Raw genomic sequence first — 17297 nt, 5'->3', positions numbered from 1 at the left:
GTCCACATGGTCCAGCTCTAGCCTGGAGCACAGCAGGTTTAGTCTTCCCATGGAAACAAACTTGAATGAAAAGGTCAGTTCATGGAGAAGGAAATAGGACAAGGGAAACAGAATTGTTCTTTTATTCTTTGTTCAGAGACATACATATTATTTATTTCATAATTCAGAGGAAAGAATAGAATAAAACTGATTATTTAAAAGTAGAGTAATTGGAAAAATCTTTCCCTAAAGGCAATGCAAAGGTTCAAAGTTTAGCTATGGAGAGCTAATAGGTTCAAAGTTTAGTTATGGAGAGCTAATTTTTTTCCTCTTTCTGTACAGATGACTTTTCCTTTCCTTTGATGATATTTAACAGTTCACAGTTCTTTGTCCTTATATTCAAAGGACTTGAATTGGGAGATAAAGTTGCCAGATTTAAGATGTATTGAACTTGAATTATTTTAAATATGTATATCAAATCAATTGGAACATTTTGTATGATTTTAAACTGTGTAATTCAGTACAACTTGAATTTCTAAATTTCTATATTCTCTTTTTTTTTTTTTTTTTTTTTGAGAAGGAGTCTTGCTCTGTCACCCAGGCTGGAGTTGGAGTGCAGTGGTGCAATCTCTGCTCACTGTAAGCTCCACCTCCTGGGTTCATGCCATTCTCCTGCCTCAGCCTCCCAAGTAGCTGGGACTACAGGCGCCCGCCACCACACCCAGCTAATTTTTTTGTATTTTCAGTAGAGACAGGGTTTCACCGTGTTAGCCAGGATGGTCTTGATCTCCTGACCTCGTGATCTGCCCACCTCAGCCTCCCAAAGTGCTGGGATTACAGGCGTGAGCCACTGTGCCCGGCCTGAATTTCTATATTCTAAGCATTTTCTCCTTTTCCTAGAATCATTACATTTCCTTATAGTATTCTATGTAATAATCGTTTTCTAAATAACTTTTACTAACTGTCAGCCTAATGTTATTTTATTTTATTTTTTTGATACGGAGTCTCACTCTGTTGCCCAGGCTGGAGTGGAGTGGCACAATCTAGGCTTACTGCAACCTCCACCTCCCAGGTTCAAGCGATTCTTCTGCCTCAGCCTCCCAAGTAGCTGGGACTATAGGTGTGCGCCACCACACCCGGCTAATGTTTTTTTGTATTTTTAGTAGAGACAGGGTTTTGCCATGTTGGCCAGGCTTGTCTTGAACTCCTGACCTCAGGTGATCCACCTGCCTCGGACTCCCAAAGTGCTGGGATTATAGGCCTGAGCCACCGTGCCCAGCCCTAATGTTATTTTAGAAGATAACATTGATGCAATACTATTACCTAATCTGTGGAACTTAATCAAATTTCTCCAATTATCCTTTTTATGCTCTAAAATTTAATTCAGGATCCCACATTGTGTGTAATTTTCATGTCTCCTAATTCTCCTCTATCTGGATCAATTCCTTTATCTTTACTCTCTATGACCTTGATATTATGAAGAGTCTTTCAATTTGGGTTTGTTTGATGTTTTCTCGTGATTCAACAGAGGTTACCCATTTTTGGCAAGAAGACTCCAGAAGCAATATTGTGCCCTTCTCAGTGTATATCTCAGGAGGTGTGTGATGTCAATAAACCTCATATTACAAATGGTAATATTGACTTTGGTTAATGTGGTCTTGGCCAGGTTTCTCCACCTGGAATTTATGATTTTTTCCCTGTTGTAACTAAAAAGTATCTTGTGGGGAGATAATCTGAGACTCTGCAAATATCCTATTTCTCATCACATTTTTGTTTACTAATTTTTAACATCCATCAACATTGCTAGCCTATAACAGTTATTACTATAGTGTTTACCAAAGAATGATTTTCTATTTCTATCATCTATCTGCATTTATAAATTGGAATTCTACTGTAAAGAAGAATTGAATAAATAATTTATTCAGTTATCTATGTATATCAGTTGTCTTTGTTTTGCAGTATATGATGTTGATTTTATGTGTCAACTTGACTGGGCCACAGGGTGCCCAGATATTCAATTAAGCCTTACTTCCGGTGTGTCTGTAAGACTGTTTCTGGGTGGGATTAACATTTGAGTGGCCAGACTGAGTGAAGTAGATAACCCTCTTCAGTGTGGGTGGATCTCATCTCATTTGGGTGAAGGCCTGAATAGAATAAAAGACTAAGTAGGAAAGAATTCTTTCTCTCTATGTGATGGTCCTCTAGCTGGGACCTTGGTCCTCTCTGGCCTTCAGATTCGAATTTAGACTGGAATTTACACCATCAGCTTTCCTGCTTCTCAGGCCTTCAAACTCAGACAGGAATTATACCATTGGCTCTCCTGAGACTCCAGCTTGTCAGTGGTAAATCTTGGAACTTCCTGGCCTCCATAACCACATGAGCTAACTCGTTATAATAGATCTCTTTATATATACAGTCACACATTGCTTGATGACAGGATAAGCTTTGAGAAATGTGTCATTAGGTGATTTTGTCTTAGTGTGAACATTGTAGACTGCACATACACAATCTAGACGTTATAGCCTACCACACACCTAGGCTATATGGTATAGCCTTTTGCTCCTAGGCTGCAAACCTGTACAGCATGTTACTATTCTGAATACTGTAGGCAAGTGTAATACAATGGTAAAGTACTTTCGTATCTAAATATATTTAAATGTAGAAAAGGTACAGTAAAATACAATTTAATCTTATGGGATCACTGTTGTATATACAGTCCATCATTGACTAAAATGTTGTTATGCAGCCTATGACTGTATATTTATAAATATATGTGTATGTGTGTGTGTGTGTATATATTATATATAGAGTATATATATATAAAATAATATCCTATTGGTTTTGCTTTTCTGGGGAACTCAGAATAAAATACAGTATACAGTCAAAATACTATTTTTCAAAGTTACTTATGTTAGTTCTTTTCCTCTGTGTTCCCTTTATGTCATGTTGTTCATTTGTAATTGTTCGCTTGTTACCATTTATATTAATTTAAAAAATTAAGTCCTATCCTATCTGGCCAAAATTCTCCAGGACTTTCTACCTCACTCAGAGTCAAATTAGAAGTCCTTTCCACATGGCCTAAGCCTACATGATCTGGCCCTCTTATGCCTCTCTAGCCCCATCTCCTTACCAGACTCTTGCGGACCCCAGTCAGTTCACACTGGCCTCCTTGCTGCTCCATAAGCTCCTCGCTGCTCAACACACCCCATGAGCTCCTACCTCAGTGCCTTTGTACTTGCTCTTCCCTCTGCTTGAAATGCTCTCCCCCATGTATCAACATGGGTGAGTCCCCCACTTCCTTCAGGCTTCTGTTCAAGAGGTATCTTACATAGTTATTTCTTTTTTTTTTTTTGAGATGGAGTCTCACTCTGTTGCCCAGACTGCAGTGCAGTGGCACGATCTTGGCTTGCTGCAACCTCTGCTTCCCGGGTTCAAGCAGTTCTCCTGCCTCAGCCTCCCTAGTAGCTGGGACTACAGGCACGCACCACTGTGCCCAGCTAATTTTTGTATTTTTTTTTAGTAGAGACAGGGTTTCACCATGTTGGCCAGGTTGGTCTCGAACTCCTGACCTCATGATCCTCCTGCCTTGACCTCCCAAAGTGCTGGGATTACAGGCTTGAGCCACCGCGCCCGGCCTATTTCTTTGGCTGCCTTAGTTACAGGAATATGAGCTCCACCAGGGCTTTGTTTTATTTACTGTCATACTCCCTGATCTAGAGCAGTACCTGGAACTGTTCTAGTAGCAGAAACTAAATACATATGTATATATTTGTTACTGAACACTTTTCCCCTCCAACTTTGTTAAAATATGATTGACAAATAAAAATAGTACACATTTAAGATGTACAATATGATGATTTGATACATAGGTATATTGTGAAATTATTATTACAATCAAGCTAATTAATACCAAACATTTGTTGACTTAATCTAATTCATATTTCATTAAGAAATATCTTATAAATGCTTGAGGGGATGGGTTAAAAAAAGAAATATCTTAAGATGTTTTAGCTGTTGATAATAAGTGTCAATTGATAAACTGCCAGCATAAGGACTGGCAATCTGTATTTCTGCCCTGAATCCATATTACTGTAACTGTGTGAGTACAGAATGTGATTTAGTCTATTCATTAGAATGTTTGCCTTCAATATACTCCTCTGCATCTCTTCTAACAGCTGCCTGTCCTTATATAAATGAAACATGTTTTCTCCTAAATTCTCCACAATGAATAAGTATTATTTTTGTGATCAGAGAAAAAGAAAAAGCTATTAAAACAAAGAGCTCACACGTTAAAGCATAAATCTTTGCCATAAAATGATTGTGATACTCCTCCTAACTCTTCACTCTTCAGGTTGACGGGCTCCAGAGTCAACTTTTAAAGGATCTGTCTGAAAAAGTTACCCTGAAACATAAGTGCACCTATAGGTAGGCCATTTACTAATGTGTAAGCCAGTCTGAAAAAGACAGTTATCTCAAATCACTTAACAGGGAGAGGCAGAATAAGGAACTAATAACAGGTAGCAGAAAGTGTGAGGCAACTATTGCGCTGCTTCTCAGGGAATTTGACGAAGGGAGAGAGAATGGAGCCATAATTGGGGTGAGGATGTCAATGTTTCTTCCTGTAGTTTAAACACAATGAAGCGGGGATAACTCTGGAGGGAAAGCACTTAAGGTGAGTGAAGTGTATTGTCAGCTCTGGGTTAGAGTATTTGGAAGCTAGATACAAAATACCAAATTTATGAAAGTAATTGAGTGATGTCTAAACTGAGAAATAATAGCTATAAAGCTGTTTCCATTCGTTGAGAGCACAGATTTATTTCTGTAAATTGAAAAGACTGGAAATAGCCAAAGGGATTGTTAGGCTAATGGTATCCTCCACTGAGTTTTCTGGGGAAGATTCTCAGCAGTGCCATTTCCCTTAGAATGTTACCAAGCCTAAAGGAATGAGGACAGTGGAAAATGAAATGGGGATGGGGAAGGAGAAAAAAACGGGACAGAAGGTGCTAATTTTGTAAAATCCCATGAAATACAGAAAAGATTTTTAAGAGTGACAAATGTTGAAAACAGCTGTGATCCCTCTGGTAACAGAGATACTCAAACAATTTAAGAGACTCTAGTCAGCTGCACCAAAATCTGGAGGATAGAGTAGTCACATCTGAATTAATGATGAATAAATTTGTAAAACTAAGGGTGCATTTCCTTCCTAGAGTAGAAGGCTTTCCTTTGTGGTGAACAACTGGACAAAGTATTGAAAAATAAAGTCTGTATGAACATCAAACATGGCTCTCTGGGCCTTTGTTTTTTTCTCCTAGGAGTCATTTAACTCCAGAAAAGTGAAGCAACACAAATAAACCCTGGATCCCCCATTAAGACTGGGAGTTTCAGGGGCTGTGGTGAATTGCTGCTTATGTTGTGCTACTCTGCCTGTAAATTTGCTATAGCAGATACCTTTGGTTTCCTGCCCTATAGCTAGCCCCTACTCACTCTCTTCTAACAGAATTCTAAATTTTTTTCTAGTATCCACACTTTTCCAAGAAACCATGGGCATTAGGAATAGCTGGTCCCATTCTCATTTCTGAGTGTCATAATTTGATTGTACTAACTGCTGTGGATTTAATGTCCCCTCTAAAATCATAATAAAATTTAATTATCATTGGGATGGTATTAAGAAATGGGACCATTAAAAGGTTATTAGGCCATGAAGGCTCCCTCATGAATAGGTTAATGTCATTATTGTGGAAGTGGTTCATTATTGTGAAAATGGGTTGTTATAAAAGTGAGTTTGGTCCCGTCTGTTTGTTGCTCTTGCCCTCATTTGCTCTTCTGCCTTCCACCATGCGATGGCATAGCATGAAGGCTTTCACAACATGCCAGCACCTTAACATCAAACTCTCCAGCCTCCAGAACTATGAGAAATAAATTTCCTTTATTTATAAATTACTGGGCCTGTGGTATTCTGTTATAGCAACACAAAAGGAATGAAGAAAATTGGTATCCAGAAGTGGGGCTGTTATTATAACAAATAATGGATAACATGGACGTGGTTTTGGAACTGGATAATGAGTACAGGCTGTAAGAATTTGGAAGGGCAGGCCAGAAAAAGCCTAGTTTGGCATGAATAAAGCATTAAGGGCAATTCTGGTGAGGGCTTAGAAGACTCCAGAACTAGGGAGAGCCTAGATGTTCTCAGGGATTACTTAAGTGATCAGATTATCAATAGAAATATGGATGGGTAAATAAATATCAGTGGAAATACTGACAGTAAATAGTAAATAGATATCAATAGAAATAGAACATGGATGGTAGACAGATAGAATATGGATGGTAAATAGAATATGGATAGACAAATAGAAATAAAATATGGATGGTAAATAGATATCAATAGAAATATGGAGAGTAAATAGATATCAGTAGAAATAGAATATGGATGGTAAACAGACATCAGTGGAAATATGGATGGTAAAAGCCATTCTGAGGAGATCTCAGATGGAATTGAGGAACAAGGAATTGGAAACTGAAGTAAAGCCCATGCTTGTTATACAACTGCAAAGAATAGGGCCGAATTGTGTTTATGGCTGAGGGCTTTATGGAAGGTGACATTTAAGAGCAATGAGGCCAGGCACAGTGGCTCACACCTATAATCCCAGTACTTTGGGAGGCCGAGGCAAGTGGATCACTTGAGGTCAGAAGTTTGAGACCAGCCTGGCCAATATGGTGAAACCCTGTCTCTACTGAAAAAACAAACAAACAAATAAACAAAAATAAGCTGGGCATGGTGACACATGCCTGTAGTCCCAGCTACTCAGGAGGCTGAGGCAGGAGAATTGCTTGAGCCCAGGAGGTGGAAATTGCAGTGAGCCGAGATTGCACCACTGCACTCCTGCCTGGGCAACAGAGCAAGACTCCATCTCAAAAAAAAAAAAAAAAAAAAGAGCAATGAACTAGGATATCTAAAGAAATTTCTAAACAAAATATTGTAGAAGCTATAAGGCTACTTTAAACTGCATACAGTAAGATGCAAGAGGAAAGAAATGACTCAGAGATGGAATTTATAATTACAGTCATGTTTTAATCAACAATCACATACAGGCATATCTGAGAAGTATTGTGGCTTTGGTTTCTGACCACTGCAATAAAGCAAATATCACAATAAAGTAAATCGTATGAATTTTTGGGTTTCCCAGCACATGCAAAAGTTATGTTTACACTATACTTTATTAAGTGTGCAATATCATTGTATCTAAAAAAAAGTACATACCTTAATTAAAAATACTTTATTGCTAAAAATGCTAATAATCATCTGAGCCATTGGCAAGCTGTAATCTTTTTGCCGGTATAGGGTCTTGCCTCAATCTGATCAGGGTGGTAGTTGTTGAAGATTGGGGTGGTTGTGGCAATTTCTTAAAATAAGACAAAAATGAAATTTGACTCATCAATTAACTCTTCCTTTCATGAAAGATTTTTTTCTGTAGCATGCGATGCTGTTTGATAGCATTTTACCCACAGTAGGACTTATTTCAAAATTGGAGTCAATCCCCTCAAACCCTGCCACTGCTTTATCAACTAAGTTTATTAAATATTCTAAATCCTTTGTTGTCATTTCAACAACGTTCACAGCATCTTCACCAGGAGTAGATTCCATCTCAAGAAACCACTTTCTTTGGTTATCCATAAGAAGCAACTCCTCATTTGTTCAAGTTTTATCATGAGATTGCAGCAATCAATCACATCTTCAGTCTCCGCTTCTATTTCTAGTTGCATTGCTATTTGCGCTACATCTGCAGTTACTTCCTCCACTGAAGTCCTGAATCCTTAAAGTCACCCATGAGAACTGGAATCAACTTCTTCCAAACTCTGTTAATGTTGATATTTTGACTTCCTCCTATGAATCATGAATGTTCTCACTACCATCTAGAATGGTAAGTTTTTTCCAGAAAGTTTTCAATTTTCTTTGCCCAGATCAATCAGAGGAATCACTGTCTATAGCAGCTGTAGCCTTATGAAAAGTATTTCTTAAATGACAAGACTTGAAAGTTGAAATTACTCCTTGATCCATGGGCTGCAGAATGAATGTTGTATTAGCAGGCATGAAACAACATTTATCTCCTTGCACATCTCCATCAGAGCTTTTGAGTGAGTAGGTGAATTGTCAATAAGCAGTAATATTGTAAAAGGAATTTATATTTCTGAGTAATAGGTCTCAATAGTGGACTTGAAAATATTCAGTAAACCTTGTTGTAAATAGATATGTTGTTATCCAGGGTTTGTTCCATTTCTACAGCACAGGCAGAGTTAATTTAGCATTATTCCTAAGAGCCCTAGGATTTTCAGAATGCTAAATGAGCATTAGCTTCAACTTAAAGTCACCAGTTGCATCGGTACCTAAAAAGACAGCCTGTCCTTTGAAGCTTTGAAGTTAGGCACTGACTTCTCTCTAGCTATGCAAGTCCTAGACGGGATTTTCTTCCAATAGCGGCTGTTTTGTCTACACTGAAAATCTTGTTTAGTGTAGCTGCCTTCATCCATTATCTTAGCAAGATCTTCTAAATAACATCCTGCAGCTTCTACATCAGCACTTGTTGCTTCACCTTGCACTTTTATGTAATGGAAACGGCTTCTTTCCTTAAATCTCATGAACCAATCTCTCTGCTGGCTTCAACCTTTTCTTCTGCAGCTTCCTCACCTTTTTCAGTCTTCATAGAATTAAAGAAATTTAGGGTCTTGTTCTGGATTAGGCTTTGGCTTGAGGGAATGCTGTGGTTGGTTTGATCATCTATCCAGACCTCTAAAATATTTTCCATATCAGCAATAAGGCTGTTTTGCTTTCTTATCGTTTGTATGTTCACTGAAGTAGCACTTTTAATTTGCTTCAAGAATTTTTCTTTTGCATTTACAACCTGGTTAACTATTTGGCACAAGAGGCCTTGCAGCCTATCTCAGCTTTTGACATGGGTTCCTCAGTAAGCTTAATCATTCCTAGCTTTTGTTTTGAAGTAAGAGAATTGTGACTTTTTCTTTCACTTAGAGACCATTGTAGAATTATTAATTGACCTAATTTCAATATTGTTATGTCTCAGGGAATAGGAAGGCCCAAGGGATTTTGAGACAGGGGAATGGCCACTCAGTGGAGCAGACAGAACACACACAACGTTTGTTGATTAAGTTTGCTGTTGGTGGTCCTGTAGGATGATAATACCATATTTTCACTGTACCTCTTTTATATTTAGATATGTTTAGATACACAAATAGTTACCATTGTGTTCCCTTGGGTCCATCACATAGCCTAGCTGTGTAGTAGGCCATACCATGTAGGTTTGTGTAAGTACACTCTGTGATATTCAGATGATGACAAAATTGCCTGACAATGCCCTTTTTAGAAATGCAATGTATGACTATAAAGGAGAAGCAGAATGGAAAAATTTTGAAAATTTTCAACCTGGCCATGTGAAGAATAAAAAAGCCTATTCAGGAGAGCAAACCAAGTGTGTGACCAAGATACTGTTAAGGAGATTAGTATGGACAGAAAGAATCATCAAGACAATAGGAGAATGACCTCAAAGTCATTTAGAGATCCTTGAGGCTGTCCCTCCTGTTACAGGACCAGAGCTCTAGGAGGGCAGGATAGTTTCAAAGGATGATCCTGAGAACCCTCTGTGGGCTCACTATCCAGAGCCTCCTAGATTTCTCCTTCCCACATTTCAGTGCATTGCTCCTCGGCTGCCTTAGCTGTGGCTAAGGCACAGTGGGACCAGGTGTGGCTCAACCCACCACTCTACAAGGTATAAGCCATAAACCTTGGTGGCATTCATGTGGTGCTAGTTCTTTAGGCGTGAGAAATGCAAGAGCTGTGGGGGCATGGTTTCTTTCACCTAGATTTCAAAGGATGTCATAAACAGCCTGGGGTCCCTGATAAAAATTTTTTGCAGGGGTGGAGTAACTACAGAGAGCCCCAACTAGGGCAATGCTAAATGGAAATGTAGGGTCAGAGCTGCCACAGAGAGTTTCCACTAGAGCAATGCCTAGTAAAGTTTATTTCTGGGCTCTCTATTCTGTTTTGTTTATCTATGTGTCTATTTTTACACCAGTACCATACTATTTTGATTACTATAGCTTTGTAACATAATTTGAAGTCTAGCTTTGTTCTTCCTGTTCAAGATTGTTTTAACTATTCAGGGTCTTTTGTGTTTACAAGTAAATTTTACGGTTTTTCTTTTTCAGTGAAAAATGCCATGGGAATTTTGATAGGGATTACACTGAGCTTGTAGCTTGCTTCAAATAAAATGGAAATTTTGGCAATATGATTTTTCTGATTCCATGACCATGGGATATCTTTCCATTTACTTGTGTCTTCCTTATTTCTTTCATCAATGTCTTATAGTTTTCTGTGTACAGATCTTTCATCTCCTTGGTTAAATTTATTCCTAAATATTTTAATTTTTGATGCTATTATAAATGGAATTGTTTTCTAAGTTTCTTTTATGAATAGTTTTTTATTCATGTAAGCTTGTCATTCATGTATAGTAACACAGCTGAGTTTTGTATGTTAATTTTGTTTCTTGTAACTTTACTAAATTCATTTATTAGTTGTAATAGTTTGTTGGTCAAGTCTTTAGGACTGGCTACGTACAAGATCATGTCATCTGTAAACAGAAACAACTTACCTTTTATCATTCCAATTTAGATGCATTTTATTTCTTTTTCTTGCCTAACTGCTCTGGCTAGGACTTCCAATACTATACTGAATAGAATTGGCAAGGATGGGTGTCCATCCTTGCCTTGTTCCTGATCTTAGAGGTAAAGCTTTCAGTGTTTCACAGCTGGGTATGATGTTAGCTGTGGGCTTATCATATATGACCTCTATTATGTTGAGGTAAATTGTTTCTATACCTAATAAGTTGAGAGTTTCATCATAAAGGATGTTGAATTTTGTCAATGCATTTCTGCTTCTATTGAAATGATCATACAGTTTTTATTTTTATTTTTGTTAACATCATGTATCACATGTATTGATTTGTGTATGAATTTCTTAAAATTAGTTTTTTGCCTCTTTCTCTCTTCTTCTGTTACCATAATTTGTAAATTCATTTGCTTGATAGTATCGCATGGCTTCTTTATTATGCTTTCTTAATTCTTTTAATTTCTTCTTTTGTTTTGGTTCCTCTAATTGGCTAATTTCAAATAATCTGTTTTTGATTTGCTGATTTTTTTCTTCTGCGCGATCAAGTCTGTTGTTGAAGCTCTCTACTGATTTTTTTTCATTCTGTCATTATATTCCTCAGCTCTAAGATTTTGTTTGGTTCTTTTCTATGTTTTTTATTTCTTTATTACACTTCTCATTTTGTTTATGGATTGTTTCCATGATTGCATTTGTTTGTGTTCTCTTGCATCTCATTGAGCTTTTTTAAGATAATAATTTTGAATAATTTGTCAGGCAATTCATAGATATCCAATTCTTGGGGGTTGGTTACTGGAGCTTTATTAGTTTCCTTTGGTGTCATGTTTGCCTGATTCTTCATGATTTGTGTAGCTTTGCATTGGTGTCTGTGCATTTGAAGGAGCAAACACCTTTTCCAGTATTTATAGATTGATTTCAGCAGGTAAAGACCTCTTGTTAGGTCCATGGGCTGATGGAATTGCCACCAGGATTGCAGTTGAGTGGGGTTGGAGTTGGGCAATGTGACTGCTGCTGGGTCCAGTGTGAGGTCTGCAGTTGGTGGGCCTGTTACCAGAGGCTCAAGTGAGCACGGATCCTCTCTGGTCCTTGAGTGAAATCAACTGTCTCTAAGTTTTTGGTCAGTAGGCCTGGTTCTGGGACAAGGGTCCACTTCAGGGTTCGAAGCTTGGTCTACAGCTGGCAGGCCTGTTGCCAGATGCATGGATGGGTGTAGTTCCCTGAGGGTCTCTGCAAGGGTTCCCACTGGTTCACTGGGCAGAAGAGAGGGACTAAAACTGAGTCACAGGACTGCTTCAGGGTCCACACACAAGCTCAAGGACTGCCTCCTGGGTCATGGATGAAGGTGCCTCCTCCTGGGTCCTTTGGTGGGAAGGACTGCCCTGGGACTGCAGCTGGGTGGTGCTGAAGCTGGGTCACAGGGCTGCTTCAAGATCTGCAGCTGAACTTAGGCCAGTGAGTCTGCCTCTAGTGACATAAAGGGGCATGTCTTCTGGTACATCCCTGGGATGGGAGGACTGCAGCCAGGTTGCAGCTTAGAGGGCCTGGAGTCAAGTTACAGGGCTCTTTGAAGGTATGCTGTGGAATGTAGGTAAGCAGATGGGCCTCTCAAGGCATGGATGGGCATGTTTCCCAGCAGGTTCCTGTGTGAGCAGGACTTCTCTCAGACCATGGCCAAGAGAGCTTGGAGCTGGGTCCCAAGCTGCTTCAGGATCCACAGCCAGGATTGTGGTCAGCAGGCCTGTTGCCTGAAGCACAGGTGGGTGTGAGTCCTCCCAGGTCCCTTGATAGATGGCTCTGGTGGCAGGATCAAAGCCAAATGGGGCTGTAGCTGAGTCCACAGAGGAACAGAATGTTTCTGATACTGTCACAGGACCACAGTTGGTGAGCCTACCACCTAGCTGTGAGTCTGCCCTTTCAAAGGAGCCATCTTTGGTCTTAGGCTGTGCTTGGGTTTTGCAACCTGGGGTCCACAGCTCCCACAAAGGCACTTTTGTCCATGGATGGCTACCAAGTTCTTGTTGCTGTGGGGAAATATGATCAAGGGACCTCCTATTCCATCACTTTTTCCTCCTTGTTATATCTTAAACAGACACTTAGTGAGGAGCAAATTAAGCGGACTTCTCAAGGCTCTATACCTAGTAAAGAGCAAAGCCAGGACTCAAATCATGGTCTGCTGCTTGCACAGCTGAAATGATCAACCATTATACAGTCTCATCCTTTTAAGTACCTCCAGTGAATTCAGTCTCTTAAGTATGAAACAGCTTAGAGGCATGTAGTCTGTCAGCTGAAAGTACCAAGAATGTTTTAGAAATGATCCCTAGTTGAAGGCCACTTCAGTGAATACACTCATCTTACCTAAGAAGGTTTTGTTTTGTTTTGCTCAGGGTATTCAGCAGGTAAACATATCTTGGTACACATGGGGACAAATTAGTCAACTATATTAAATAGAGAAGGGAGATTCACTTCCTTTGCACTCTTTCCCTGCTTATTCATTGTATTTTGGATATATTTTCTTTTTTTGCATGCAGCCACTACAATTATGATTAAAGGAAAATTCTGTCATATCTTTTGTCAAGACATGAAGCATTTTCACTGTCTTCTGAGATAACTGAATTCTCAATAGTGAAGCAAATCATTAGTATTTCAATCTTGGTTGTGTTTTCTATGTGGGTCAAAATGGAGACAGTATATCATCTCATTCCGTTGATCGAATGAGGAGAGAGGTTTTAGGTACAAACATTAATTAATAAAACAGAGTTAAAAGTGACAACATATTTTGCTGTCCCTGACACTTTGATATATGTATTTCTTGGCAGCTCAAGATGCCAGGGGCATAAAAATCTAGATAATATAGGTCAAGAATCCCTGGGTTTTCAAACCCACATTTTACATCAAAACTATAAACAAATGAATCTTAAAACTCTGTACTTATTTAAATTATGGATTTATTTTAGAATCTGTGCTTTGCTGCATTATATATTTACAAAGTTGAAAAAGATTAGATTTCAGTGATCAGGATGATGTAGCAAAAGCAAAACAATGTTCTTTTTCAGAAAGCATCAACCCATTATTAAAAATCTAGATTATTTGATAAGCAAAATTCCTCATTAATGTGCAGTAACATATGCAAGGTAGTCTTTTAATCCTGGAGAAGCTTGTTCAGAAGGAAGCACCAAAAAATAGAATGCTTATTTTATTTTCAAGCTGGAGTTTTCAATCACCCTGGCAGGATGAGTTTTAATCAGCTTTTGTTGTAACATGAGTAGTAACTTCAATATATACCACACACACACATCATCTAATATTTTATACCCTACTCACACGAAACACACATGTACACACTATATACTATACACCTACCACACCACACAGATACATACACACATACCATACTGCATATATACACTCTACTCTCCACCAAGCACAGAAAAATACGCTATACACATGCCACATCATAGCACACACACCATAGCATATGCACACATATCTCTCACATCAAACCCATGTACACAAAATACCATACAGCACACATATACATACTATATGCACATACACCACACAAGCACAAGACTTTGCCACACATGCACTACACATACCATACCACACATACATTCCCTTTCATACCCAGCACACATACACATACATCCCACATGATCTGGCCACTGGCTGCCTTCCTGACCTTATTTCCAACTCTCTCTCCCCTTTTCACTGTACTTGAGCTACGCCTTCCTCTTTGCCTTGTCTTGAGCACACCAAACACACTTCTGTCTTAGCCCATTGGCATTTGCAGTTCCCTCTGCCTGAAAAACTTCTCTTTTCCTGGATGTGCACATGGTGTACTCCCTTTTCCTTAGAGATCCTTTCCCTGACCCTCCCCCAGTGCAGGATAGCACCCAGATCACTTGCTCTCTGCAACTGTCTGCTGCTCCCCATTACTGTCCTGACTGGCCTTAGCTACCTGTATTCTGAACTCCAACCATAAAATGTAAGTTGTTCTTAGAAATCATCTAATTTAGTCTAACATCCTCATTTTGCACACAACAGGAGGGAAGCTTCAAAAAGAGAAGTAACTTGTCTAAGGTTACAAAAATCATTCATTCATCCATTCAGCATATATTTCGTAAGTACCTATTATGTCACTATTCTCAGTACTAGGTATCAGAGGGGTACAAAAAGGGCAAGGACTTTGAACTCATGAAACTTACAGTCTATTCAAGGAGACAGATAATAAGCAAATAAATACATAAAATAATGTCAGGTAGTGATTAATGCTTAAAGAAAAAAAGCAAGGAGGTAAAAGGAGGTAGAAGCAAGAAAGAGCCAAGAATAGTTGAAAAACATTATCCCAAAGGCACAAGGACATACAGTCTATTGGAAATTTTTCAGAAGTTAAAGCATCTGTTTATTCAAGATGGTAAACAAGTGGCAGCCTGGTTTGCAAATGCAGAAGGCTTAGCTAGGGGGTCATTTGGACTTGAAAAGGAGGCATGGTTTCTGAGTCTTGGCTCAAGGCAAGGATGGTGTAGACCCCTATATGTTATAATGACATTCACATTGATAATAATTGCAGTTAAGATAATGGTGAAATACGTACTGGATCCATTCAAGGCATTGTACACAATGAGGCACCATAGAGTTTAGATACTCCTGTTAATTTCAGGTACTGATAGTGGATAGAGCTAATCTGAGAGCCAGGAACATATAGAATCTTCTAAGAAAATAATTAATAGTCTAAAAATGTGAGCCAGGCTACTGAAAGTTAGGAAGTCAAAAGTAGTCATGCATAAGGCAAGACCAAAATCAGATTACTTGCTTAGTAATGTCCAGTTCTATGCTTATTCTGGAAAGGTCGAAGTCTACTACTGCCATCATGAGAAGAGGCCAAGCAATACAAAGGCTAAGAAGGGCAGATCTGATCTGATCTGAGCCAAGAAGCAATGGCTCCTAAGAAAATAACCTACCAGCATCTCAGAAACTCCCTTTGTCTTCCCATGTTTGAGGTTCTACCCAGGAAGCAGGCACCAAATGGAAATATCTGAGTATGTGTACGTGTGTTTGTATGCATGCGTGTGTGAAAGAGGAAAGAACAGACATGTTTTGGAGGCATTGCTACCTATTGAACAGTATGTTCTGTTTACCATGTCTGGTACAATTATCCCAACTCATCATCTTTTTAAGAAAATTTTTTTAAGAAACAGTAATGTGGGTTTGTATGCTATGTGAAACTCCAGAATGAGGTCTGCTTCTCAGATAATTCGAACTGTTCATAGGCAATTTCAAAAATATTGACCATTTGCACTTAACTAATAATGTCCTTTTCAATGACAAGAAGTTATTCTGAATAAAGTTTCAAATCCCTAAAATGGCTCACACCTCTTAGCTTCAATGTAAACATCTCTGGAAGCGATGTAGATTTTGGGACTACCTAAGCCTTGTAAACTTTAAGTATTTAAATTATATCTTTTTTGTTTGTTTTTTGTTTTTTGGGTTGTTTTTTTTTTTCTTTTTTTCTTTTTTTTTTTTTAGACAGGGCCTCACTCACCCTGTCACCCAGGCTGGAGTGCAGTGGCATGATTTCAGCTCAATGCAGCCTCAACCTCCAGGCTCAAGTGATCCTCCTACCTCAGCTTCCCAAGTAGCTGAGACTACAGGAGTGCACCACCGTGCCCAGCTAATTTTTGTGTTTGTCGTAGAGATGGGGTTTTGCCATGCTGCCCAGGCTGAAATGATTCCTTTTTTGAAAGACAGAATAGCTTTCCCTAAATGTTTAGAAATTAGGATAGAAACATCTTAGAAAAACGTATACAAGAATCTAATAGCATTCTTTTAGGTCTTACATTATATAGCTTAAATATTTTGTCTCCAATAACAGATAAATTATTTTTGCAAAGGATTGCCTTGGATTTGTTGATGATTCCACTCTAATCACATCTATATTTGAAGACATATTTTGGACATGATCAAATAAGAAGCTAGCATGTTTAATCAAAATATGCCATTAATTGTTTAAATGTGAAGGAAATAAAAAATGAAATTAAGACTTTGTTTATATTCATATCATGGGAAATTTTCAAAATAGATTTTGTAATCAGTACCAGAACCTTTCACAACCTGGAGAATGGCAATAAGACATTGCTGAAAGTAGTCTACAGATATGTTACTTCCCAACAATTACAGTAATCGAGAGTGTTGCATAGTTTGCAAAATACTTCATGAGTTCTTTTAATTAGCAAAACAAGGTATTGGCTAGGAAGAAAAGTTATTATTATTTTCATTTTATAGATGAGAAAACAGAACCACAGAAACTGAGGGAGTTACCCAAGGTTACGTGGCAAAGGAGTGACGGTGGCACATCTAGAATCCAAGTCCACTGACTCTCATCATAATGGCCTTTTTATATCATGCTTCTCTTGAACTATGACTTGTCTTCTAGTATATGTAGATATCGTTTATACTTAAAAATTTGCCTAATACTATCTCATAATGATGCTAAGATTATTAAAATGGAAATTAAAGTTTGTAGATATCGTTTATACTTAAATATTTGCCTAATACTATCTCATAATGATGCTAAGATTATTAAAATGGAAATTAAAGTTTGTCAACAGTGTTACTTAAAATTGGGAAGATTAAGGAGTATGAA

The 17297-nt window shown here is 38.4% G+C and overlaps 1 protein-coding gene across 16 annotated transcripts in view; it reads right to left on the bottom strand.

Moving 5' to 3' along the window:
- PCED1B (PC-esterase domain containing 1B) overlaps window positions 1–17297 on the bottom strand; it is a 157040-nt gene that overhangs the window by 82752 nt on the left and 56991 nt on the right. The window lies entirely within an intron of this gene.

The sequence above is a fragment of the Homo sapiens genome, chromosome 12, assembly GCF_000001405.40.
Source record: "Homo sapiens chromosome 12, GRCh38.p14 Primary Assembly".
Classification (NCBI taxonomy): Eukaryota; Metazoa; Chordata; class Mammalia; order Primates; family Hominidae; genus Homo; species Homo sapiens.
The sequence above is the reverse complement of the archived record's forward strand: the minus strand, read 5'-3'. Positions and strand labels throughout refer to the sequence as shown.